The 26,801-nt window shown below is 46.8% G+C and overlaps 1 protein-coding gene across 5 annotated transcripts in view, besides 2 other annotated features; it reads right to left on the reverse strand.

The window, feature by feature from the left end:
- Positions 1 to 2,315: 2,315 nt before the first annotated feature.
- The window catches only part of BCL7C (BAF chromatin remodeling complex subunit BCL7C), a 60,452-nt gene continuing 35,966 nt past the window's right edge, over positions 2,316 to 26,801 (reverse strand). For 4 of the 5 annotated variants that reach the window (XM_047434898.1, XM_047434897.1, XM_011545980.4 and 1 more), the window contains one exon: positions 19,669 to 21,012. In XM_047434898.1, coding sequence (XP_047290854.1) covers positions 20,659 to 21,012 — 354 coding nt within the window. In that variant the 3' untranslated portion in view covers positions 19,669 to 20,658. Of the gene's footprint in view, positions 3,839 to 19,668; positions 21,013 to 26,801 lie in introns of those variants that run through there. The other variant, NM_001286526.2, reaches the window with a different exon arrangement.
- Positions 13,311 to 13,400: an enhancer, noted in NCBI's record as "active region_10730". NCBI's record gives its function as "activates an Ori minimal core promoter by ATAC-STARR-seq in GM12878 lymphoblastoid cells {active_cell/tissue: GM12878}" and the evidence as "EXISTENCE:reporter gene assay evidence [ECO:0000049][PMID:35858748]".
- Positions 13,441 to 13,540: an enhancer, noted in NCBI's record as "active region_10731". NCBI's record gives its function as "activates an Ori minimal core promoter by ATAC-STARR-seq in GM12878 lymphoblastoid cells {active_cell/tissue: GM12878}" and the evidence as "EXISTENCE:reporter gene assay evidence [ECO:0000049][PMID:35858748]".

Genomic DNA, 26,801 nt, shown 5'->3' on the forward strand with positions numbered 1-26,801 from the left:
TTCTAGGTAAAATTCCAGCAGCAGACTTGACTTGCCGATGCTGCTCAGTCCAGAGTAGTGTTTCTTTTTCTTTCTTTTTCCTTTTCTTTTGAGACAAATCTCCCTCTGTCACACAGGCTGAAGTGCAGTGGTGGGATGTCAGTTTGCTGCAACCTCTGCCTCCTGGGTTCAAGCAATTCTCCTGCCTCAGCCTCCTGAGTAGGTAGGATTTCAGGCACGCACCACCATGCCTGGCTAATTTTTGTATTTTTAGGAAAGACGGGTTTCACCATGTTGTTCAGGATGGTCTCGAACTCCTGACCTCGTGATCCGCCCGCCTCGGCCTCCCAAAGTGCTGGGATTACAGGCATGAGCCACCGCGCCCGGCCTTTCTTTTTCTTTTTTGAGATAGAATCTCACTCTGTCACCCAGGCTGGAGTGCACAATCTCTGCTCACTGCAACTTCCACCTCCTGGGTTTAAGCGATTCTCCTGCCTCAGCCTCCCGAGTAGCTTGGACTACAGGTGTACAGCACCATGCCCGGCTAATTTTTTTTTTTTTTTTGTATTTTTAGTAGAGATGAGGTTTCACCATGTTGGCGAGACTGGTCTTGAACTCCTGACCTCAAATGATCCAACCGCCTTGGCCTCCCAAAGTGCTGGGATTATAGGCATGAGCCACTGTGCCCAGCCCCAAAGTAGTGTTTCTATGCAGGAAATCCCTTCTGGAATTTATCAGGAAATCTGTATGTTCTTCTGAATCCCAAAATCGATCAGTCAAGAAATTGGGAAAATGGGGAAAAGCATTATAATTCTCCTGTGAGAATTAATGCTTAACAATCAACATAGAGGCATTCCTGGCTTAAAGAAATCCACTGATGCCAAATTGAAAGCAAGAGAAGGCAACGTTGACACACAGAGTCTAAAGTTAAGGTACTGTAATCCCGGTGCTCTGGGAGGCTGAGGCGGTTGGATCATTTGAGGTCAGGAGTTCGAGACCAGCCTGGCCAACATGGCAAAACCGTGTCTCTACAAAAAATACAAAACTTAGCCGGGCATGGTGGCATATGCCTCTAATCCCAGCTACTCGGGCGGCTGAGGCACAAGAATTGCTTGAACCCGGGAGGTGGAGTCGAGATCGCACCACTGCACCTGAGCCTGGGAGCTGCAGCAAGACTGTCTCAAAAAATAAATAAATAAAGTTAAGGTAGACATTTCCAGAATATGGGATAAGAGTACCTAGGAGATAAGTAGTCAAAATACTTTTTGTAGCTGTTGACACACTAAAAGTATATTTGTGGCTGTACCTGTTGTTAAGAGCGAGTCATTCCCACAAATATTAATGTTGACGTGCACTGTGTTTTATACAAATCCTACAAATGATGTTCTAATAAATAACAAGTTTTGGAAACACATAAGTCCTTAAATTGGCAATTCTCTCCCTCTCTCTTTTTTTAAGAGACACGGTCTTGCTCTGTTGCCCAGGCTGGAGTGCAGTGGTGCAATCATAGCTCACTATAGCCTCAAACTCTGGGCTCAAGTGATCCTCCTGCCTTGCCCTCCGAAAGTGCTGGAATTACAGGCATGTGCCACCACACTCAGCCTAAACTGGCAATTTCAACTCGTGATTCTGTGTAGTGTTGTTAATCTTGTCAAATATTTGAACATTTTGTTATTTAAATACTACCCAACAATGTTCATTGGCATCTTCCAGTTACTGAATATTTGCTACGGCCTACAGATCTTTGTAACTACTACTAAATGTGTATTTCTTATTTATTAAAAAATACAGAAAGTGGCCGGGCATGGTGGCTCACGCCTGTAATCCCCGCACTTTGGGAGGCTGAGGTGGGTGGATCACCTAAGGTCAGGAGTTTGAGACCAGCCTGGCCAACATGATGAAACCCTCTCTGTACTAAAAATACAAAAAATTAGCTGGGCATAGTGGCACGTGCCTGTAATCCCAGCTGCTAGGGAGGCTGAGGCAGGAGAATCACTTGGACCCGGAAGGCAGAGGTTGCAGTGAGCCGAGATCACACCACTGCACTCCAGCCTGAGTGACAAGAGCAAACCTCCGTCTCAAAAACAAACAAACAAACAAACAAACAAAAAAAAAAAACACAGAAAGTTATGAAAAATACAGAATAACATGCTTTCAGGAATTCCCCCAAATCCCATTTTTTCATTCCCAACTCCTGAAGATTAGTTTCCCTTTTGGGAACTTGGAAATCTTAGCCCAGAGGAACTGGATGAACTTCCCAGACAACCCAGTGGGATGGCAAATGGAGAGAGGTCATCCTTGTTGGCCTCCAGGAAGGCTCTACACAGGAGCTGGTCCTGGAATGGAGCTTCCTTCACCAACATCACCCTGGTGACGACTGAGAAAAGGTCATTCCAGAATTCCATGGGCTGAACCTAAAGCATTGGCTTGAAGCGTGAAATTTCTGTCATCTCAATCATTGGTACGAATGTTGACTTTCATCCCAGGGAGTATCTACTCACTTCAGTGTAGAAAGCGTTTTCTGTAATTCACCAGAGAAAAATGAATGCTCTCCATAAATGGAGGCCCTGTTAACCCACGGCCTTAACCCCGCTGTGTCCCAGCACAAGAAGTGGTACTGCATTGCTGACTTTGGGCAGGTTCCTTAACCTCTCAGAGACTCAATTTCTCCATCTGCAAAATGCAGATAATGAGAATATCCATGCCACAGGGATGCAGTGAGAACTAAATTACATCAGTCACAATGCCTGGTACAGAGTAAACCCTTGATAAATGGGAGGCGTTATTATTTCCTAGTACAACAGACCCAACGGTGAAGTCAGGAAGTGAGAGCTTGGTGAAGGGCCTTGGAACCACCCAAAAGGCTCACTCGCGCTGCTTCTCGGGCTAGGATTTTCCAGGTAGGTTAGGCCACCAGCTCAGGGCTGCGCCAGAAGTCTCCACGCCTCCACCCGAGGCGGGCGCCTGGGCTGAAAGGCCGCTTGTCCACATGGGTTCCCAGGTTGGCCTGCTAGGCTGACACCCTGGTGGAACCACTTGCCGTATGTCCTCGGGCGCTGGAGGTCTCCCAGCGCTGGCATACATAAGCCCTGGCGTGCGGGGCGGCTTCTGCGCTGGGGTCTCTGCGCGTGCACGGGCCTCAACATATGCATGGACGTCCAGGTGCCACGTGGGCATCTCGTGGTGCTGCAGAAGGCGGGAGGCCGGCGGGTCCCCTGCGCTTGTCCCCGCCACGGCCCTTGCCCGCTGTGGACCCGGAGGCTCAGTGCCGGCAGGACTCGGGACTCGGCGCCTCTCCCGGGGTGGCAGGCGCCTCGCATGGCACACTCAGACCGCTGGGAGGGTGGCCGCATGGGTGCGTGAGGAGGTGGGCGAGGCAGCCCAGTGCACCCCTCCCCTAGGCCTCTAGCAAGGCGGCCTCAGGCACTGGATGTGGTCCGAGTTCTGCCCTAAGCCCTTCCCATGCATTCGGGCGCCAGTGGCGAGCCAGATGGGTGCTGTGGCCTTAGGTTCGGGCAGGTGTGGGGCCGCTCGCCCTCCGATGTTACCGCGGTGGGTGAGCTGGGAAGCTCTTTCCGCCCTCGGGGCACAGGTAGTGGCTGGATCTTGGGGCAGCCAAGGGAGGCTTTAGGGGTCTTGGCTTGCTTGGGGAGCCCACTCACCTCCCCTTACCCTGGGGGATTGTTCTGGGTGCCCTCGGGGCCTTGCTGCCTCCCCCGGGAGCTCTGGTGTCCGGCACCGCCATGGAACTGGGCCGGACATTTGTCCGGAGGCCCCTCCTGGGCAGGAGCCTCCTGAGGGGCTCTGTCTTCAGCCCCTTCTCGTGAAGGGCTCTCCTCGTCATTCTCACTCCCGAATCCTGTACGGAGAAAAGAAGAATCTGGGTAGTGTTTCCTCTTCTCCCCACCTCACTGAGTTTCCACCAACTTGTCCCATTTATGACTTCCAAATGGCGCAAGTTGGTGGAAAGTCTTTTGCAAGCGATTAAGCTGGGTATTTTTGAGAGCAGGCAGAGGGTGAGGCAGGGCCTTGTAGGAAACCTGTAGGACCTCAGTTTCTGAAATTAGACAGTGCTGGGTTTGAATCCCAATTCCAGCCATTACTTGTAGTGTAATCTTGGGCAAGCTACATAACTTCCTGTTAAGCTCTAAGACGGAGATAACCTAAAGGCAGCCTCAAATGATTCTGTCAGTGTGGTTGGTGCATCCACAGGCCATCAGGGATATGTTCAATTGGAAAGATCAATATAAACCTTTACCTTTAAGAAAACTTTTGGCCGGGCTCGGTGGCTCACGCCTGTAATCCCAGCACTTTGGGAGGCCGAGGTGGGTGGATCACCTGAGGTCAGGAGTTGGAGACCAGCCTGACCAATATGGTGAAACCCCGTCTCTACTAAAAATATAAAAATTAGCTGGGCATGGTGGCGGGCGCCTGTAATCCCAGCTACTCGGGAGGCTGATACAGGAGAATCTCTTGAACCCGGTAGACAGAGGTTGCAGTGAGCCGAGATCGCACCACTGCACTCCAGCCTGGGCGACAGAGTGAGACTCCGTCTGAAGAAAAAAAAGAAAAAATTTTTTTAGCAGAGCACGATGGTTTAGCCTGTTATCCCAGCACTTTGGGAGGGAGGCCAAACAAAGCAGGATGATCTCTTGAAGCCAGGGGTTCAAGACCAGCCTGGGGCCAGGCGTGGTGGCTCACGCCTGTAATCCCAGCACTTTGGGAGGCTGAGGTGGGCGGATCACTTGAGGTCAGGGGTTCGAGACCAGCCTGGCAAACATGGTGAAACCCCGTCTCTACTAAAAATACAAAAATTAGCTGGGCATGGTGGTGTGACACCTGTAATCCCAGCTACTTGGGATGCTGAGGCACGAGAATCGCTTGAGCCTGGGAGGCAGAAGTTTTAGTGAACCAAGATCGCATCACTGCACTCCAGCTTTGGTGACAGAGCAAGAATCCGTCTCAAAAACAAAACAAAACCAAAAAGCCCAGCCATAGCGAGATTCCATCTTTACAAAATATTAAAAAATTAGCCCAGCATGATGGCATGTGCCTGTAGTCCCAGCTACTGGGGTGGGGTGGCAAGGTGAGAGGATCACTTTAGCCTGAGAGGTCTGAGCTGCCGAGAACTTATGATCACGCTGCTGCACTCCAGCCTGGGCAACAGAGTTGAGACCCTGTCTTTTTTTTTTTTTTTTTTTTTGAGACAGGTTCTCCCTTTGTTGTTCAGGCTGGAGTGCAGTAGTACAATCATGGCTCACTGAAGCCTCAAACTCCACATCTCAAGCGATCCTCCCACCTCAGCCTCCCAAGTAGCTGGGACTTACAGGTGCATATCACCATGCCTGGCTAATTTTTGTATTTTTTGTAGAGATGGGGTTTTGCCATGTTGCTCAGGCTGGTCTTGAATTTCTGGGCTCAAGTAATTCACCCACTTCAGCCTCCCAAAGTGCTGGGATTACAGGTGTGAGCCACTCGCCTGGCCAAGACTCCATCTCTTTGTATTTTTTTTTTTGTTTTTTGAGACAGAGTCTTGCTCTGTCACCCAGGCTGGAGTGCAATGGTGCTGTCTTGACTCACTGCATCCCCTGCCTACCAGGTTCAAGCGATTCTCCTGCCTCAGCTTCCTGGGTAGCTGGGACTACAGGTGCGTGCCACCACACCTGGCTAATTTTTGTATTTTTTTGGTAGAGACAGGGTTTCACTATGTTGGCCAGGCTGGTCTTGAACTCCTGACCTCGTGATCCACCTGCCTCAGCCTCCCAAAATGCTGGGATTACAGGCATGAGCCACCGCGCCCGGCCGACTCCATCTCTTTAAAAAATTTTTTTTCAACTCTCGTCACTGAGTGAAACTTTGCCACCCTACTGACACTTATGTATATCCTTAATGCCCAGTTGTTGGTGCCTAATAGTGTTTACCATTAAAATAACCAGGAGTTCTTGGAGGGTAGCTGATTACATTTCTTGAGACAAGAAAAATCAGGATGGGTCTATAGCATCCTGTTCATTCCAGAAAGTAAGGATATTTTCAAGGATATTGGGGTAGTGGTACAAAGACAAAGGTGATAATAATTTTTTTTTGAGGCGGAGTTTTGCTCTTGTTGCCCAGGCTGTAGTGCAATAGAGCCTCTTGCCTCACTGCAATCTCTAGGTTCAAGTGATTCTCCTGCCTCAGCCTCCCGAGTAGCTGGGATTACAGGCGCCCACCACCACGCCCAGCTAATTTTTGTATCTTTAGTAGAGATGGGGTTTCACCATGTTGGCCAGGCTGGTCTCAAACTCCTGACCTCAGGTGATCCACTCACCTCAGCCTCCCCAAGTGCTGGGATTACAGGCGTGAGCCACTGAGCCCAGCCGTGAGGACTTTAAATAAGAAGATGCAGATAAAGCACTTAGCACTGGGCCTGCAGCATAGGACATGATTCAAATGAGTTAGTTTATTGAAGAGGGCAGGGGGTGGTAGCAGGAACAGACATCAGAGAGGCAGAGTGCAGAGAGGAGCTTTCCCAGGCATGCTGTCTGGCTGATCAGGTGGCCAGTCAGTTGACTGGCACATGCTAACTGAGTCCCAACAAGGTGCCAGCCACTGGAGACATAATGGTGAACAATGCAGGGCCCTACAATTTTTCCTCCTCTATGGACTTCTCTCCAAGTCCTACTGGCTATCTTAGCTACAAACAATTCCCTACCACACTTTTCCCTTCAGGCTATTTTCATGAATAGAACCAGGACATTCCAGGCTTGGCTTCTTTCCTGTCCCAGGTTGGGCCACTGGCTTCACCACTGAACAGCCCGAGGTCTCAATTCAGGGCACAGGCACTCAGCTAATCTCCACCAAAGTGGTTAGGAGCATGGGCTTTGAAATGGATGACAGAGGTTTGAATCCTGACTCAGCTTCTTCTTATCTGTGACCTTGGGTAAATAATATAACATTACAAAGCCTCAGTTTTCTTATTTGTAAGTAGGCATAATAATCCCTACCCAAAAGGAATGTGATGATTAAATGAGATTACGTGAGTGTATGTGTATATAGTATACACATATAGATCAGAGATAGATGGTAGGTAGCTAGGTAGGTAGGTAGATAGATAGATAGAGGCACTGAGTAACGTTAGTGGCTGCCATTATTGCCTTAATATTCCAGTTACTTCAGGGTTTGCTCCTTGGAGGATTTTGGATATTTGCTTATGAGTATAAACAAACAGATTAGGCCAGGCGCAGTGGCCCATGCCTGTAATCCCAGCACTTTGGGAGGCCAAGGTGGGTGGGTCACTTGAGGTCAGGAGTTTGAGACCACCCTGGCCAACATGGCGATACCCTGTCTCTACTAAAAAAAATACAAAAAATTAGCAGGGATTGGTGGCAGTCACCTGTAGTCCTAGCTACTCAGGAGGCTGAGGCAAGAATTGCTTGAACCCAGGAGGCGGAGGTTGCAGTGAGCCAAGATCACGCCACTGCACTCCAGCCTGGGTGACAGAGCGAGACTCCGTCTCAAACAAACAAACAAACAAAAAAAACCCCCAAATAGATTATATCAGACCAGTGGCAAAATTTTTTTTCTGGGTATTAATAATGCATTATAGCATTTTCAGGAAGTTATAGCCATTTTATTTCAAACTTTCCCCAAATCGTTAACAGATAAATCAATGAAGAATGTCAGAAAGATTCTGGGAAAAAAATGTCTCTATGACAATAGCCAGGGTGGGCAAGTGGTTGCAAAGCACAGGGTGTATTTGAGTCCACAGGATCTACTGAGATCAAGGCCACTCACAACTCCTGGAGGTGGGTGCCATTCACTACCAGGTAAACAAGAGGTTTGTATAGTTAGTGCAACAGATTTCCAACAGATAACAGTACATTGTTTTAAGGAAAGGGCACCTCTTTCCTAGTTCATACAAAGTTGCTAAGAATTTATGAATGAGCCGAAGAGCTGACTGTGGCCTCTCTAGAGGACAGAATGTGTACCACACTTGTCTATTGGGCTAGATTAGGACCTAACAAACCTGTGGCAGAGAGGAACTGTCTTCTCGCAGGGTCTGGGGCAAAGAGTGGGATTCCCTGGTGTGACAGACAGGATTCTAATAGATGCTCCCCTCAAGATTCCTGTCCCCTGGTTATTCAGTCAAGCACTAATTTAGGTGCTGCTGTGAAAGGATTTGGCAGATGTAATTAAAATTCCAAGTCAGTTGATATTAGGATACCGAGATTATCACCTAGTCAGGTAGCCATTTAAAAGCAAGCTCTTCTCTGGCTGGTAGCAGAACAGGAAGTTATGAGGGGCATTTAAGCCATTGCTGACTTGAAGAAGGAGGCAGCCATGTGCTGAGGAATGCGGAGGCCTCCAGAGAGCTGCCACTACCCAACATCCAGCAAGGAGCTGACTTTGGCTAACAACCTAAACGAGCTCGAAAGTGGATTCTTCTTCAAAGCATCTGGATAAGAGCCCAGCTCAGCCAACACCTAGACTTTGCCCTTTTGAGACTGAGCTAAGAACCCAGTCACACCCATACAGTGGGACTTAGGGAACTGTGAGATAATAATTGGTTGTGGCTTTAAGCTGCTAAATGCGTAGTAATTTGTTATGCAGCAATAGGAAACAAATATTATTTGTTTCATGAAAGAGCTCAGCTGGAGATAACTTGGGAATCCCTCCAGGAGAGGACTCTGTCAGCTGTCTTGCATTATGCTGGTGGAGAGAACACATTTTCCCCACTCCTGATGTTTACTTTTATGCAGGTAGAGATCTACAGGTGTAACATTACTGACCTTCCCCCACCTCCTGACTTACTTAGGAAGGAATGGAGTTATTAGGAAGGAGAAATGGTATGTCTATATATCTGTTTCTTCCTCTGTTTTTCCCCTTGAGAGTGAACCTGTTGCCTAAGAACTTAGGTTCTGTTCTACACCGTCAAATTCCAAGTTGTTTTTTTTTTTTTTTTTTTTTGAGACAGAGTCTTGCTCTGTCGCTCAGGCTGGAGTGCAGTGGCATCATCTCCACTCATTGCAACCTCTGCCTCCCAGGTTCAAGCAATTCTCCTGTCTCAGCCTCTCGAGTAGCTGGGATTACAGGCACATGCCACCATGCATGGCTAATTTTTTTATTTTTAATAGAGACAGGATTTCACCATGTTGGCCCGACTGGTCTCAAACTCCTGACCTCAAGTGATCCACCTGCCACAGCCTCCCAAAGTGCTGGGATTACAGGCGTAAGCCACTGCACCCAGCCATCAAATTCCAAGTTTTACAAGGGGAAGGCTGTCAAGGTCTAGTACTACCTGTGACTATGGATGGGTAAACATGGTCCAGAACTGACGAAGAAGAAAGATGTATTAGTCTGGTCTCACCTTGCTAAAGACATACCCGAGACTGGGTAATTTAGAAAGGAAAGAGGTTTAATTGACTCACGGTTCAGCATGGCTGGAGAGGTCCCAGGAAACTTACAGTCATGGCGGAAGGGGAAGCAAACATGTCCTTGTTCACATGGTGGGAATAATAAGAAGTGCTGAGCAAAGTTGGAAAAGTCCCTTATAAAACTACCAGATCTCATGAGAACTCACTCACTGTCACAAGAACAGCATGGAGGTAACTGCCCCCTATGATTCAATTACCTCTCACTGGGTTCCTCCCATGACACGTGGAGATTACAATGGGGACTATAATTCACGATGAGATTTGGGTGGGGGGACACAGCCAAACCATATCAAAGACCTTAATTAATGGTCTCCCTCATCTCTCCCACCCCTGCCAGAAACCACATATAAACATACAGCCCTGGAAGAACTGACCTAATCTGCTCACCCTTGAGCACTTAGAAGGGAGCTGCACAGGTAGACTGACTTGAGGAAAGATGCCTGCCTGCACTTGAAAAGCCCTGTAGGTAAGGCTTCCTATTCATGCCTTAATAGTCAGATAGTGGTCTGCAAATTTGTTCAATACTGGGTGTTGTAGACTGAATGTATATCCTGCCCCCTCACCCCAATTCATATGAAGAGGTCCTGATACCTCAGAATGTGACTGTATTTGGAGAGGGTTTTAAAGAGGTAATTTGTTGGGAGCCGAAAAGGCCACAGGGATTGTGACCAACTCAGCATTCCACTGGAGGCTACATGATCAAACAGCAAACTGTTTATTATGAATGCAGGATGTAAGCAAACTCACACTGCGCCTGCTGCCAAAAGGTTTGCTGAGGGCCATCACTCCCTGGCTCCGGGCTCCTTGAAGTTATCTACTGGGAAATCTAGCGCCTATTGTTCGAAGGATACAGTCTCACAAGCCTGCTGTGAACCAAACAGCTGACTGACAATTACCCGACAACCAGTCCCCCTTTCTCGTTATCTCTTTTACCAATAAATACAGAGGGCTGTGTAAAGCTCAGGGCCCTTGGCCGGGCATGGTGGCTCACACCTGTAATCCCAGCACTTTGGGAGATTGAGGCGGGCAGATCACGAGGTCAGGAGATCAAGACCATCCTGGCTAACATGGTGAAACCCCATCTCTACTAAAGATACAAAAAATTAGCCAGGCGTGGTGGTGGGCACCTGTAGTCCCAGCCACTCGGGAGGCTGAGGCAGGAGAATGGCATGAACCTGGGAGGCGGAGCTTGCAGTGAGCCGAGATCATGCCACTGCACTCCAGCCTGGGCCAAATGCGAGACTCCATCTCAAAAAAAAAAAAAAAAAAAAAAAAGCTCAGGGCCCTTGTCCACCAGAGACAAGGTGCCCCCTGACCCCTTCTTCCAAATATACTCTTCTGTCTTTGTCTTTTATTCCCGTGTTCACCCCCCTTTGTTCAGTCTCCCAAGGTCCGTGCAGGTTACAGTAATTGAGTTACAGTGAAGTTGTTAGGGTGGGCTCTAATTCAATACGACTGGTACACTTAAGAGGAAATTTAGACACAGACATATACAAAGTGAAGACCATGTAGAGACACAAGGAGAACAAGGCCATTTACAAGACAATGAGAGAGGCCTCAGAAGAAACCAACTCTGCCGACACCTTGGTCTTGGACTTCCAGTCTCCAGAACTATGAGAAAATAAATTTCTGTTGTTGAAGCCACCCAATCTGTGGTACCTTGTTATGGTATACCTAGCTAAAGAGCACACTGGCCACTCAAGAGGAAACTTGCCTTACGCCACTTGCCTCTGTTTGATAGAACCTAACATACTATTCTGACTGCTAATTGTAAATAAAATAAGGAATAATTAAAGAAAAGTTACAGCCCATCTAAGGGACTCAGAAACCAGAGGAGGGAAGATCAAGCCAGTCCCTGGATGAAATGTTATTTATTTATTTTTTAAAACAGAGTCTCGCTCTGTCACCCAGGCTGGAGTGCAGTGGTGCGATCTCAGCTCACTGCAACCTCCACTTCCCGGGTTCATGCCATTCTCCTGCCTCAGCCTCCCGAGTAGCTGGGACCACTGGCGCCCGCCACCGCTCCCAGCTAATTTTTTGTATTTTTAGTACAGACAGGGTATCACCGTGTCAGCCAGGATGGTCTCGATCTCCTGACCTCGTGATCCGCTCGCCTCAGCCTCCCAAAGTGCTGGGATTACAGGCATGAGCCACCGCGCCCAGCCATTCTCCTGACCTTGTGATCCACCCTCCTCAGCTTCCCAAAGTGCTGGGATTACAGGCGTGAGCCACTGCACCTGGCCAAAATGGTTTTAACTGAAGTAAAATTGATTGAAGTCTGTTTTTTAAAAAAAGTTACAAGAGCTCAAACTTCCTTGTCACCAATCCTGTTCTTTCCAAATCCCTGGCCATCCAGCCAAATCATGAGCAACTGCCCATGCGTTAGTATAGGTCTGTACTTCTGGCTATTTCTCATTCCAGACATAGCAAACAATCAAACATACTAGTCAAAATTCCGGCCACTGCGAGGCCATGACAGCAGATTTTGCAGACTCTTCTGTAGAATGAGAGATACTCCAGGAGGTCATAGACACTAATGGAGGGAGAGGAAGACAATGTAGCAAGAGTTGGTGTTGGGCTGGGTGCCGTGACTCATGCCAGTAATCCCAGCACTTTGGGAGGCTGAGGCAGGAGGATCACTTGAGACCAGGAGTTTGAGACCAGCCTGGGCAACATAGTGAGACCTTGTCTCTACTAAAAATGAAAAAGTTAGCTAGGCGTAGTGGCACATGCCTGTAGTCCCAGCTACTTGGGAGGCTGAGGTAGGAGGGTCACTTGGGCCTGGGAGGTTGAGGCTGCAGTGAGCTGTGATCATGCCACTGCACTCCAGTCTCGGTGACAGAGTGAGACCCTGACTCAAAAAACAAAAAAAAAAAGTTGGTGTGAAGGAGTGGATTCTTCTATTGGTGTTTGCCATGTTTGCCATGGACACTGAGCGTTACCGGATCTGCTGGATCTCAAGCACCACACAGTAGACCAGCATGTGATGTAATGCAGCCTGGACTTGCTGCAGAGCCTTCTCTCGCTCCAGTCCCTGCTCAAAACTAGCAGCATAGACCGGGCACTGTGGGTCATGCCTGTAATTCCAGGATTTTGGGAGGCTGAGGTGGGTGGATCACTTGAGGTCAGGAGTTGGAGACCAGCCTGGCCAATATGGTGAAACCTCATCTCTACTAAAAATACAAAGAATAGCCAGGCATTGTGGCACATGCCTGTAATCCCAGCTACTTGGGATGCTGCTTGGCAGGAGAATCTCTTAAACCCGGGAGGCAGAGGTTGCAGTGAGCTGAGATCGCACCATTGCACTCCAGCTTTGGCGACAAAGCGAGACTCTGCCTCAAAAAAAAAAAAAAAAAAAAAAAAAAAAGTCCGGGCGTGGTGGCTCATGCCTATAATCCCAGCACTTTGGGAGGCCGAGGCAGGCGGATCACAAGGTCAAGAGATCAAGACCATCCTGGCCAACATGGTGAAACTCCGTCTCTACTAAAAATACCAAAATTAGCTGGGCGTGGTGGTGCGCACCTGTAGTCCCAGCTACTCGGGAGGCTGAGGCAGGAGAACTGCTTGAACCCAGGGGGCAGGGGTTGCAGTGAGCCCAGATGGCACCAATGCACTCCAGCCTGGTGACAGAGTGAGACTCCGTCTCAAAAAAAAAAAAAAAAAAAAAAAAAAGGGAAAAAACAAACAAACTAGCAGCCTTACAAATACTAATTTGCTCCAAGAAAGATACTGTATCTGGGAACAGCAGCTACAATTGGAGTCACCATCTGATAAAGTTTATGATAGTCCACAGTCATTCTCCGAGATCCATCTGACTTCTGCACAGGCCACACTGGTGGGTTAAATGAGCATGTGATAGGTGTCATCACCCTTGCTTCTTTTAATTTTTTGATGGTGGCATTAATCTCTGTGCTTCCCTCAGGAATGTGGTATTTCTACTGGCTTCTTTTCTCTGTAGGGAGGGGAAGTTCCAGGGGCTTTCACTTAGGCCTTCCTGTCATATTGACCTTCAGTCTATGAGTCAGAGAGCCTATGTGGGGATTCTGGCACTATGTCAGTTTTCAATCAGTTGTCTCAGCTCTAAATGTCACCCTCCAGTACCTGCTCTAAGATAACGGGCTGGACTTCTAATACATTTCTCCTTGCAAAGAACATGATGTTATGCTTTGTCAGTAGAGGGCGCTGGTGGGACATTGCAAGAAGAAGGGGAAGCTCTTCCTGGTTCTGGTCCTGTTGAGGTTTCATTTTTCTTGCTCTTGCTGCAGTTTTTCAGGGGCAGATCCCAGTGGTTCTCTGCCCTAGATGCATGTCCAGAGTGAAAAGTCCTTGGGAGGCTCAAAGACCCCAGTTTGCAACACTTTACCACGTTCCCTCCCCCAATATGGACACCACAAATCCCATACCACATGCCGCCTTTGCTGTGAGTGGCTCCTGGCACTTGGATAGTTTTTGCACACCCACCACTGGTCCTGACCTTTATTGGCTTTCTCTAGCACTGAACTCTGGCAGAGCACGCTTCTCCAGTACTTGGCTTCTGTAGCAGTCTAGCTTTCTCCAGCACTGTGCTCTCACCAAGCGCACTTTATCTAACAGGTAGAAAGCATGGCTTTCTCTGCCACTTGGTTCCTGTATGGGTAGAGCTTCCTCAGGCACTGGGCTCTCGCTGAGTCTGCATGCTCTCGTGCTTGACTCCTCTAATAGCCTGACTCTCTACAGTGCTTGATCCTTGCACTGGCAAAGCTCTTTCCAGCAATGGGCTCCTGCAGAGTGAGTTTCCTACAGTTCTTGGTTCCAACAGTGCTTGGTGGAATAGCAGCTTCACCTGATACCCCAGAGGGCAGATTTCTAGGAGGTCTCATTTGGTGAGGCATGTCAGTGGCTTCTCTGCCATGCCTTTCAAATGACATCTGGATCTCAGCCCTTGTGGGAGAAGATTCTTCATTGGATACTGTATCTCAGCCCCGGGGATAGTAGCTGATCTTTATATCTGCCACCTCTGTATTTCTGCATTCTTTTTTTTTTTTTCTTTTTATTGAGACAGCACTCTGTTGCCCAGGCTGGAGTACAGTGGTGCAATCACAGCTCACTGCAGCCTCAAACTCCTGGGCTCAAGAGATCCTTCAGCTGGGCGCAGTGGCTCATGCCTATAATCCCAGCACTTTGGGAGGCCGAGACAGGCGGATCACAAGATCAGGAGATCGAGACCAGCCTGGCCAACGTGGTGAAACCCCGTCTCTACTAACAATACAAAAATTAGCTGTGCATGGTGGCAGGTGCCTGTAGTCCCAGCTACTCCGGAGGCTGAGGCAGGAGAATTGCTTGAACCCGGGAGGCAGAGGTTGTAGTGAGCTGAGCTGAGATCACGCCACTGCACTCCAGCCTGGGCAACAGAGCGAGACTCCATCTCAAAAAAAAAAAAAAAGAAAGATCCTTCAGCCTCAGCCTCCTCAGTAGCTGGGACCACAGGTTTGCACCACCATGCCTGGCTAATTTTAAAATTTATTTATTTATTTATTTATTTATTTATTTATTTATTTTTTGGAGATGGAGTCTCACTCTGTGGCCCAGGCTGGAGTGCAGTGGCGCGATCTCAGCTCACTGCAAGCTCCGCCTTCTGGGTTTAAGAGATTCTCCTGCTTCAGCCTCCCGAGTAGCTGGGACTACAGGCGCCCACCAACACGCCCGGCTAAATTTTTTTGTATTTTTAGTAGAGACGGGGTTTCACTGTGTTAGCCAGGATGGTCTCGATCTCCTGACCTCGTGATCCGCCCACCTAGGCCTCCCAAAGTTCTGGGATTACAGGCATGAGCCACTGCGCCCGGCTTAAAATTTATCTTTATTTTTTGTAGAGATGAGGTCTTACTATATTGCCCAGGCTCTCTGTATTCTTTAGAATTGTCTTTAGCTCTCATTAACCAATTCCCTATCATTCCAATCCCCTATCAATAATTCCTTATGTTAAACTCCCATTGTGGCTTCTGCCTTTTGATTGAACCTTAACTGATATAATAAGTGGCACTGGGAGTGATCCCAGGAGACAGACCTGTGGAGATGGATTTGGGGATTTATTTAATCACACCCTGGGCTTGAGCTCCCTGCTGAGCTCCTTGCCTTGGGAAGTGGGATGCCAGCAACCCATGGCCTGCAGTAGCATTCCAGCTAGTGACGCTGTCACGTGATGGTGGTGAAGTGCCTACTGAAGCACATGCCTTGGGAACCCAAATGGCTGCTATTCTTGACTACAGTGACAGCAGTAATGACCAAGGAGCAAGGACTGTGGTGTGCGATGGATTCTTTTCAGTACAGTCGAGTTATTACAAAGAGAAAATGGCAAGCTCAGGTCTATTCACTCTCAGCTCAAGTCACAGTCTGAGAATCAGAATGCTTCCATGACAAGCCTAAAACAATCTCTGACTTGTGTAGACCCAGGGCTGATATTGCTGAAAGTCAAACACATAATTTAATTGTGTGGTTTGCTGAAAAGTAATGAGTTGAATTTGCAGTCTCATCAAATTTGTCATGCAAAAACTAGGGCACTAATTGGGAAATAATAGGATCCAGAAATTTGGAATGGTGAATCTGGTTGGACCCAGATGAAGCCAACAATATTGAACTCCTATGTCATTCAGAGTCTCCCTTGTGAGTGGAAGTAGCCTGATGTCCACAGTCTGAAGAGACTCACTTTCCTGTCTGAAAAGGCTGTGATAACCTCACCTGGGCAAATGCCTTGAAAGTGGATGCTCATACCCTCAAAATCCACCACAACCTATCTGTTGCCAGTAGGTCTTTAATAGGGTCAAATCTCATCATGGGCCAGGCACAGTGGCTCACACCTGTAATCTCAGCACTGTGGGAGACCAAGGCGGGTGGATCACCTAAGGTCAGGAGTTCAAGACCAGCCTGTCCAACATGGTGAAACCCTGTTGCTACTAAAAACACAAAAATTAGCCGGGCATGATGGTGCACACCTGTAATCCCAGCTACTCAGGAGGCTGAGGCAGGAAAGTCGCTTGAACCCGGGAGGCGGAGGTTGCCAAGAGCCGAGATTGTGCCATTGCACTCCAGCCTGGGCAACAGAATGAGACTCTATCTTGAAAAAAAACAAAAACAAAAACAAAAAAAATCTCACCATGTTTCAGGGGGACAGATACACACTGAGACCCAGGAGAAAATGACCCAGCTTACACACTAAAATAATTGCAGGACATTGTTGATACGTTAGCAGAAAACTAGGGTGTATGGGAAGATGGGTGCTAAGGATGTTAGACCAGTGAGGGGAGAATGTGATACTAGATAAGGCCAAATTCATTGATGTGGGTGCATGTGCTAGAGACTCCAGATGTAATGTGTTAGCTTGTGTACCTGAATTTGGCTGTAAGAGACTACTTGGCTGGTTGACTGGAATTTGGACTTCATGGTGGCCTACCACTATTAAGTGGTTAGTGAAATGAGATGCCAGATCTTTCCTGGTAATCACAAGGAAGAGAGAATCCAAAGGCTTAGCATGATAGACTGCGTTTATCATGTGTACTCTATCAACTCTATTTTATGAGAGGACCCAGAAGGCACTCCTTTTGCTAGGGCATTGAAGGGAGCAGGTGTATCTTTGAGAAGTTCTCTGGTTGCTGTCCTTTGTAGGCCAAGTAAGGCTGCAGGAAATGCACCATTGAGGTGGGCCCTCTGATCTTGGGATATGAAGGGACCCTGACAAGTTAGATACATCAACTGTAAAGGGCAGCAGAGACCACCAGGCAATCTAATTTCTTGGCTTGCAGAGGTCTTGGCAGTAGCTAATGGATTATAGTGTCCCTAGGAACAAAGTAGATGGGCAGTGTACTCCAATATTTCTTGGTCTGTTTCCTTGTTGATCATCTGTTCTATCCATTATTGAAAGTAGGGTATTGAGGCCAGGTGCGGTGACTCACACCTGTAATCCCAGCACTTTGGGAGGCCGAGGCCAGCAGATCGCCTGAGGTCAGGAGTTCAAGACCAGCCTGGCCAACATGGTGAAACTCCATCTCTACTAAAAATACAAAAAAATTCTAGCTGAGTGTGGTGGCACATGCCTGTAATCCCGGCTACTCAGGAGGCTGAGGCAGGAGAATCACTTGAACCCAAGGCAGAGGTTGCAGTGAGCCAAGATTGTGCCATTGCATTCCAGCCTGGGTGACAAAGTGAGACTCCATCACAAAAAAAAAAAAAAGGCTGGGCGCGGTGGTTCATGCCTGTAATCCCAGCACTTTGAGAGGCCGAGGCGGGTGGATCACGAGGTCAAGAGATTGAGACCATCCTGGCTAACACGGTGAAACCCTGTCTCTACTAAAAATACAAAAAATTAACCAGGCGTGGTGGTGGGCGCCTGTAGTCCCAGCTACTCGGGAGGCTGAGACAGAAGAATGGTGTGAACCCAGGAGGCGGAGTTTTCAGTGAGCCGAGATTGAGCCACTGCACTCCAGCCTGGGGGACAGAGCAAGACTCCGTCTCAAAAAAAAAAAAAGAAAAAGAAAAAGTAGAGTATTGAAATCTCTGCCTAATATTGTTGAATTGCTTATTTCTCCCTTCAGTTCTATCAGTTTTTGCTTCATGTATTTTGGGGCTCTGTTGTTAGATGCATGTATGTTTTCAATTATTATGGCTTCCTGATGGATTGACCCCTTTATCATTATAAAATGTCTTTTGTATCTAGTAACAATTTTTGTCTTAAATTCTGGTTTGTCTGATATATATATTAGCATAGCCACTCCACATCCCCGTTTTTTGTTTTTTTGAGACTGAGTTTAGCTCTATTGCCCAGGCTGGATTGCAGTAGCACGATCTCAACTCACTGCAACCCCGGCATCCTGGGTTCAAGCATTTCCTGTGCCTCAGCCTCTCAAGTAGCTGGGATTACAGGCTCCTGCCACCTGCCTGGCTAATTTTTATATTTTTAGTAGAGACGAGGTTTCACCATGTTGGCCAGGCTGGTCTTGAACTCCTGACCTTGGGCAATCTGCCTGCCTCGGCCTCCCAAAGTGTTGGGATTATAGGCATGAGCCCCTGTGCCTGGCCTCCTTTTTTCTTTTTTTTTTTTTTGGAGTCAGGGTCTTTCTGTCACTCAGGCTGGAATGAATGGTACGATCGCAGCTCACTGCAGCCTCCACCATGCCTAGCTAACTTTTGTATTTTTTATTGTAGAGATGGGTTTTGCCATGTTGCCCAGGCTGGTCTCAAACTTCTGGGCTGAAGAAATATGCCTTCCAGGCTGGGCGTGGTGGCTCACACCTTTGGGAGGCCAAGGTGGGCAGATCACAAGGTCAGGAGATCAAGACCATCCTGGCTAACACAGTGAAACCCCATCTCTACTAAAAATACAAAAAAATCAGCTGGGCATGGTGGCAGGCACCTGTAGTCCCAGCTACTCAGGAGGCTGAGGCAGAAGAATGGCGTGAACCCAGGAGGCAGAGCTTGCAGTGAGCCGAGATCGCATCACTGCACTCCAGCCTGGGTGACTGAGCGAGACTCCATCTCAAAAAAAAAAAAAAAAAAGAAAAGAAAAGAAAAAAAGAAATATGCCTTCCAAATTGCTGGGATTACAGGCATGAGCCACCACACCCAGCAAACACATCTCTTATAGTTACTTTTGCATGGCATATCTTGTTATATCCTTTTACTTACAAACTATTTATCTTTGAGTATAAAGGCACTATATACAGTCATGTGTTGCTTAACAATGGGGATACATTCTGAGAAATGTGTCATGGGCGATTTTGTCATTGTGCAGACATCATGGAATGTAGTTACACAAACCTAGATGGTATAACCTGCTACTACAAATCTAGACTATATCATATAGACTATTGCTCCTAGCCTACAGATCTGTACAGCATGTTACTGTCCTGAATACTGTAGGTGATATATATATAATACTGTAACATGATGGTAAGTATTTGTGTATTTAAACACACAGAAAAGGTACAGTAAAAATACAGCATAAAAGATAAAATGATATGCCACACTGGTATACCACGGTATGCCATGGTAAGTACCAGGGCACTTACCAGAATGGAGCCTACAGGACTGGAAGTTGCCCTAGATGAGTTAGTAAGTCAGTAGTGAGTGAATGTGAAGGCCTGGGACATTATGGTACACCACTGTAGGCTTTATGAACACTGTATATATAGGCTACACTAAATTTACAAAAAAGATTTTTTCTGCAGTAATAAATTAATTTTAGCTAAGTGCAACTTTTGGTGCAAATGTAATTGCGGTTTCGCACCATGAATTTTAAATCACTATAACCAGGCTCAAACACATATTTATTAATCAAAATAGGAACCAGTACAAACAACACATTTTTTCCAATAAGAAATAAGTTTGTTTATTCCTGTAGCGTAAAAATCTGTGCTTCGGGATTCAGCGAACTCTTGGAAAGCATTTTCTGCATCCTACTGGTTCGTTTTCCCTGCAAAACTGCTGGGATGCTTGAAGAAGTGGTAGTCAGTTGGCAAGAGGTCAGGTGAATATGGTGGATGAGGCAAAATTTCATAGCCCAATTCGTTCAACATTTTTTTTTTTTTGAAATGAAGTCTCACTCTGTCGCCCAGGCTGGAGTGCAGTGGCACAATCTTGGCTCATCGCAACCTCCACCTTCCGGGTTCAAGCAGTTCTCTTGCCTCAGCCTCTCGAGTAGCTGGGATTACAGGCGCCAGCTACCATACCCAGCTAATTTTTGTATTTTTAGTAGAGACAGGTTTCACCATGTTGGCCAGGCTGTTCTCGAACTCCTGACCTCAAGTGATCCGTCCACCTTGGCCTCCCAAAATGTTGGGATTACAGGCGTGAGCCACCGCACCCGGCCTCAATATTTGAAGCGCTGGTTATGCGATGTGTGGTTGTTGTCATGGAGAATAACTGGGCCCTTTCTGTTGAGCAGTGCCACAGCAGGCCTTGCAGTTTTTGGTGCATCTCATCGATTTGCTGAGCATACTTCTCAGATGTAATGGTTTCACTGGGATTCAGAAAGTTGCAGTGGATCAGACCAGCAGCAGACCACCAAACAGTGACCGTGACCTTTTTTTGGTGCAAGGTTGGCTTTGGGAAGTACTTTAGAGCTGCTTCTCAGTACAGCCACAGAGCTGGTTGTTGCCGGTTGTCATATAAAATCGACTTTTTGTCACACATCACAATCTGATCAAGAAATGGTTCGTTGTTGTTGCATAGAATAAGAGAAGATGACACTTCAAAATGACGATTTTTTTAATTTTTGGTAAGGTCATGAGGCACCCACTTATTGAGCTTTTTCACCTTTCCAATTTGCTTCAAATGCCAGACGGCCATAGAATGGTCGATGGTTGAGTTCTTGGGCAACTTCTTGTGTAGTTTTAACAGGATCAGCTTCAATGAGAGCTTTCAGTTGGTCATTGTCAACTTCCGATGGCCAGACACTATGCTTCTCATCTTCAAGGCTCTTGTCTTCTTTGCAAAACTTCTTGAACCACCACTGTACTATATGTTCATTAGCAGTTCCTGGGCCAAGTGTGTTGTTGATGTTGCGAAGTGTCTCCACTGCTTTATGACCCATTTTTAACTCGAATAAGAAAATCGCTTGAATTTGCTTTTTGTCTAACATCATTTCCATAGTCTAAAATAAACGTAAAATAAACAGCAGTAATGAGTCATTAAAAAAATAAAGTGAGAAATGACCATTAAAATGATGTATAGCATAACCACATTTATTTAAGAATGTATTCCAAAATCAAATGGCAAATTTCAACAATTACTTTTGCACTCACTTAGTAACTTTATAACTTTTTTTTTTTTTTTTTTTTGAGATGGAGTCCTGCTTTGGCGCCCAGGTTGGAGTGCAGTATTGTGATCTCGGCTCACGGCAACCTCTGCCTCCCGGGTTCAAGTGATTCTTCTGCCTCAGCCTCCTGAGTAGCTGGGATTACAGGCGCATGCCACCAGGCCTGGCTAATTTTTGTATTTTTAGTAGAGACGGGGTTTCACCATATTGGTCGGGCTGGTCTCAAACTCCTGACCTCAGGTGATCCACCCGCCTTGGCCTCCCAAAGTGCTGAAATTACATGCATGAGCCACCTCACCCAGCCAAACTTTTAAATTTTTTAAACTTACTCTTTTGTCAATAAGCTCATTAATAAATGTTATTACACTTAGCTTAAAGTACACATTGTACAGCTGTACAAAAATATTTCCTTTCTTTATATCCTTATTCCAGAAGCTTTTTCTATTTTATTTTATTTATTTTTTGATACGGAGTTTTGCTCTTGTTGCCCAGGCTGGAGTGCAAATGGCATGATCACGGCTCACCGCACCCTCCGCCTCCTGTGTTCAAGCGATTCTCCTGTCTCTGCCTCCCGAGTAGCTGGGATTACAGACATGCGCCACCACGCCCAGCTAATTTTGTATTTTTTTCAGTAGAGACGGGGTTTCTCCATGTTGGTCAGGCTGGTCTCGAACTCCTGACCTCAAGTGATCCACCCACCTCAGCCTCCCAAAGTGCTGGGATTACAGGCATGAGCCACTGCACCCGGCCAACTTTTTCTATTTTAAAAAGTATATTTTTCAATATTTTAAACTTTTTTGTTAAAAACTAAGACACACATACACACACACACACCAGCCTAGGCCTACACTAGTCAAGATCATCGAGATCACTGTCTTCCACTTCCACATCGTGCCCCACTGGAAGGTCTTCAGAGGCAATAACACGCATGGAGCTGTCATCTCCTATGATAACACATTCTTCTGGAATCCCTCCTGTAGGACCTGCCTGAGGCTCTTCTTGAGGCACTATCACTCTTTCAAAAAATGTCCATGGAGGTTTGCTTGGCTTCTTTCTTTCTTTTATTTTAATCATACATTTGCTTGTAAACAGATAATGCACCATGAACATATCTCTATTAATGAAAACCGTTCAGTATGGGGGTCCGTGTTTTCAACGTTTTAAGGAGTTTGTTGAGGTCTGCAGCAGCTTCTGCTAAACCCTTCACTGTGAATTTTCTTCTGGGTTTTTCTTCTCCTGCAGTTTCTTTTTTCTCTTGCCTCTTCTTCAGCTATGTATTCCTGTTCCAGTTCCAACAGCTCCTTATTAGTCAATTCCTCAAGAATTACCTCTAGGCGCTCTACCATGTCATCCTCATCCACACCCAGGTTAAAATTATTTGCCACCTCAACCACAGCTTTATTGATTTTTGAAACCTCCTCATCCTTGACAAATACTTTTAAGTCATGGACCAACCTTTTGAGTGTCTTCCTCCAGATGGCATTCATACCGCATGGTGACATCACCCCAAGTCTAAGCAGGGTTCTTGATGAAGTCACAGATGTGTTGCAATCCTTCCAGAATTGTCTCAGTGGCTTCTCAGTGTCTTCCTCAGCTGCAGCAATCACCTGGGCAAAGGTCTCCTCAGGTAATAGGCCTTAAAAGCTGCTATACCTCCATGATCCATTGGTTGAAACAAAGAGGTGGTGTTTGGAGGGGAAAACACCACTTAGATATTGGGATGAATATCACCAGTAAAAGGAGGATGTATGGGAGCCTTATCAACAATAAGCAAAATCTTGAAAAATATATTATTCTCCAAACAGTATTTCTGCATTTCTCTGGCAAAACAATTCAGGATTGCATCTTGGAAGAGGAGCTAGGTCATCCATGACTTCTTATTGCTCCTGTAGTACACTGGCCATGTGTGCTTACTGATGTGCTTCAAGGCCCTGTGGTTCTCACTGTGCCAGATCACAGAGGGTTTCAATTTGTAGCCTACAACATTGTCCCCCAAGGAAGACTGTTATCCTGTTCTTCAAAGCGTTGAAACCTGGCATTGACTTGGCCTCCTTATGGATGAAAGTTCTCTTAGGCATCCATTTTCAGAATAGGGAAGTTTCATCCATATTGAAGATTTTCTCTGGCAAATAATTTTCCTGCACAATCAGCTTATCTACAGTTTCCAAAAATTCTTCAGCTGCCTTCACATCAGCACTCACAGACTCACCACTCACTTTCTTTTTTTTTTTTTTTCTGAGAAACAGTCTCGCTCTGTCACCCAGGCTGGAGTGCAGTGGCATGATCTCAGCTTACTGCAACCTCCGTCTCCCAGAGCGATTCTCCTGCCTCAACCTCCTGAGTGCCTGGGATTACAGGCACGTGCCAACATGCCTGGCTAATGTATTTTTAGTAGAGACAGGGTTTCGCCACGTTGGTTAGGCTGGTCATGAATTCCTGACCTCAAGTGATCCGCCTGCCTTGGCCTTCCAAAGTGCTGGGATTACAGGCGTGAGCCACCATGCCCAACCTCACCACTCACTTTTACGTTATGTAATTAATAACATAATTAATCCTTTAAACCACTCAGAGCTAGCAATAATTCAGCATAATAGTTGGGTCCAGCCGTTTCTTTCAATGTCGCACACAGACTTTTTGTTTTGGCTGAGATCATCATGGTGCTGAGAGAGCTATGCTTCTGTGTCTAGTCTTCAATCCAGGTCATCAGAAGTTTCTCCACATCTGATATAGGCCACCCTTCTCAAATAAATTTATTTATTTATTTATTTTGAGATGGAGTCTCCCTCTGTTGCTCAAGCTGGAGTGCAGTGACATGATCTCGGCTCACTGCAAGCTCTACCTCCTGGGTTCAAGCGATTTGTCTGCCTTAGCCTCCTGAGTAGCTGGGATTACAGGCGTGTGCCCACCACCACACCCGGCTAATTTTTGTATTTTTCATAGAGATGGGGTTTCACCACATTGGCCAGGCTGGTCTTGAACTCCTGACCTCCAGTGATCCATCCACCTCAGCCTCCCAAAGTGCTGGGATTATAGGCATGAGCCACTGCACCTGGCCCTGCCCTTCTCAAATTTTTATGAGTCTCATTGCCTTCAATGAAGCAGATCCTTTAATAGCTTCTGTCACTTTGTTCTTGTTCTTTAAGATCATTGCTACGGACGGGGCATGGTGGCTCATGTCTGTAATCCCAACAGTTTAGGAGGCTAAGGCAAGAGGATCGCTTGAGCCCAGAAGTTTGAGACCAGCCTGGGCAACATAGCGAGCCCCTGTCTCTATTTAAAAAGAAAAGAAAGGGCTGGGCGTGGTGGCTCATGCCTGTAATCCCAGCACTTTGGGAGGCTGAGGCAGGTGGATCACCTGAGGTCGGGAGTTCAAGACTAGCCTGACCAACATGGAAAAACCCCGTCTCTACTAAAAATACAAAATTAGCCAGGTGTGGTGGTGCAGGCGCCTGTAATCCCAGCTACTCAGGAGTCTGATGCAGGAAAATCGCTTGAACCCAGGAGGCGGAGGTTGCATTGAGCCAAGATTGCACCATTGCACTCCAGCCTGGGCGACAAAGCAAGACTCCATCTAAAAAAAAAAAAAAAAAAAAGAAGAAAGTTATAAATAAAACTTTCTATTTTTTTGCATGTCTCATCATTTTTGGTTGAAAGTGACATTTTAAAAACCAAAGTCGGGTGCAGTGGCTCATGCCTGTAATCCCAGCACTTTGGGAGGCTGAGGCGGGCGGATCACGAGGTCAGGAGATTGAGACCATCCTGGCTAACACAGTGAAACCCCGTCTCTACTAAAAATACAAAAAATGAGCTGAGCATGGTGGCGGGCACCTGTAGTCCCAGCTACTCAGGAGGCTGAGGCAGGAGAATCACTTGAACCCAGGAGGCAGAAGTTGCAGTGAGTCAAGATCACACCACTCTACTCCAGTCTGGGCGACACAGTGAGACTCCGTCTAAAAAAAAAAAAAAAAAAAAAGTGTGGCAGCTCTGAAAATTAGATTCCCCTCCTCCCTAGGCTTTGTTATTGTCACTGTACGTTGTTGCTGCTATTTGTTATGTGAATCCCTAGACTAATTCAGTCGCATCTGTATTCTACGTTGTGCAGCCACTGAAGTCTGCTCTGTTAGAGCAGTTAGCCCAGTTAGCTTAGTTGTCAGCTAATGATTGGACAGAGATTTTCTTAAATGCCTTTCACAAATGACTCCCAGCTTTTCCGAGGGGCTCTATGTGTGTGTCTCAGTGTTCCAAAGACAGTGTATAGCACTGCTCTAACCTTCCCTTGCTGCCGGCCGGCACAGAGCCACAAGGTCAGCTAGAGGTGAGAGCGTAGGGACTTCTCAGGTCTTTTCTCTGTATGTTCACAGCCCTAGACATGCTGGTGACCTAGGAATTCCTAAGAATATGTCAGAGCTTTGCTCTCTATTGGATATGGCATGGTTTTCTTTCCTTTTAAGTTTTTTTGTCAGCCTCTTATATCTCCAACTGGTATTACCACCCCAGGCACTTGTGATGTTAAACAGTTGTCACTGCCTGTTTTTGTTTGTTTTCAACAAATGCCCTAGGGACATGGCTGTTAGTAAAGGAAAAGTCCTGAGTCAGGTCAAATAAAGATAAACCCTGAGGGCTGGGCACGGTGGCTTATGCCTGTAATCCCAGCACTTTGGGAGGCCGAGGCGGGCAGATCACATGAGGTCAGGAGTTCAAGACCAGCCTGGCCAACATGGTGAAACCCCACCTGTATTAAAAATACAAAATTAGCTAGGCACGGTGGTGCATGCCTGTAGTCCCAGCTACCCGGGAGGCTGAGGCAGGAGAATCACTAGAACTCAGGAGGCAGAGGCTGCAGTGAGCCAAGATTGTGCCACTGTACTCCAGCCTGGGTGACAGAGCGAGACTCCATCTCAAAAAAAAAAAAAAAAAAAAGATAAACCCTGAGAATAGAGCTTTTCAAGGAGTCAGCGGATAGGTCAAATAATGACACTTCTCTGGAAACAGAGCTTTTGTTGAGGTTCAAACCTGTTCTGCCCCTCTAATGGCTGCTAGGCTATTGGTTCTCACAGGTCTCTTAGTTGTGAGGCTCTTAGTTACCAAGATTGCTGTGGACCAAGGGAGAGAAGAATGGGAGCAGAGCAAGTTAAAACACCACAAAACTCACTCTCCTTACTAGGATTCAGCTGTTTTTTCTTGAAAAACCATGCCTTGGAGGCCGGGCGTGGTGGCTCATGCCTGTAATCCCAGCACTTTGGGAGGCCAAGGCGGGTGGATCACCTGAGGTCAGGAGTTAGAGACCAGCCTGGCCGACATGATGAAACCCCATCTCTACTAATAATACAAAAATTAGCTGGGTGTGGTTGTGCACGCCTGTAATCCCAGCTACTCGGGAGGCTGAGGCAGGAGAATCACTTGGACCTAAGAGGTGGAGGTTGCAGTGAGCCGAGATTGTGCCATTGCATTCCAGCCTGAGTGACAAGAGCGAAACTCCAACTCCAAAAAAAAAAAAAAAAAGAAAGAAAGAAAGAAAAGCCATGCCTTGGATTGTAATAGCTAGCCTTTGGTTAATTTATAGAGTTCTGAAAAAGCTGATTTGGGCAATTTTTGCCAGTGTTCTCATTGCTTTTATGGGGGAA

The sequence above is a fragment of the Homo sapiens genome, chromosome 16 (genome assembly GCF_000001405.40).
Source record: "Homo sapiens chromosome 16, GRCh38.p14 Primary Assembly".
Classification (NCBI taxonomy): Eukaryota; Metazoa; Chordata; class Mammalia; order Primates; family Hominidae; genus Homo; species Homo sapiens.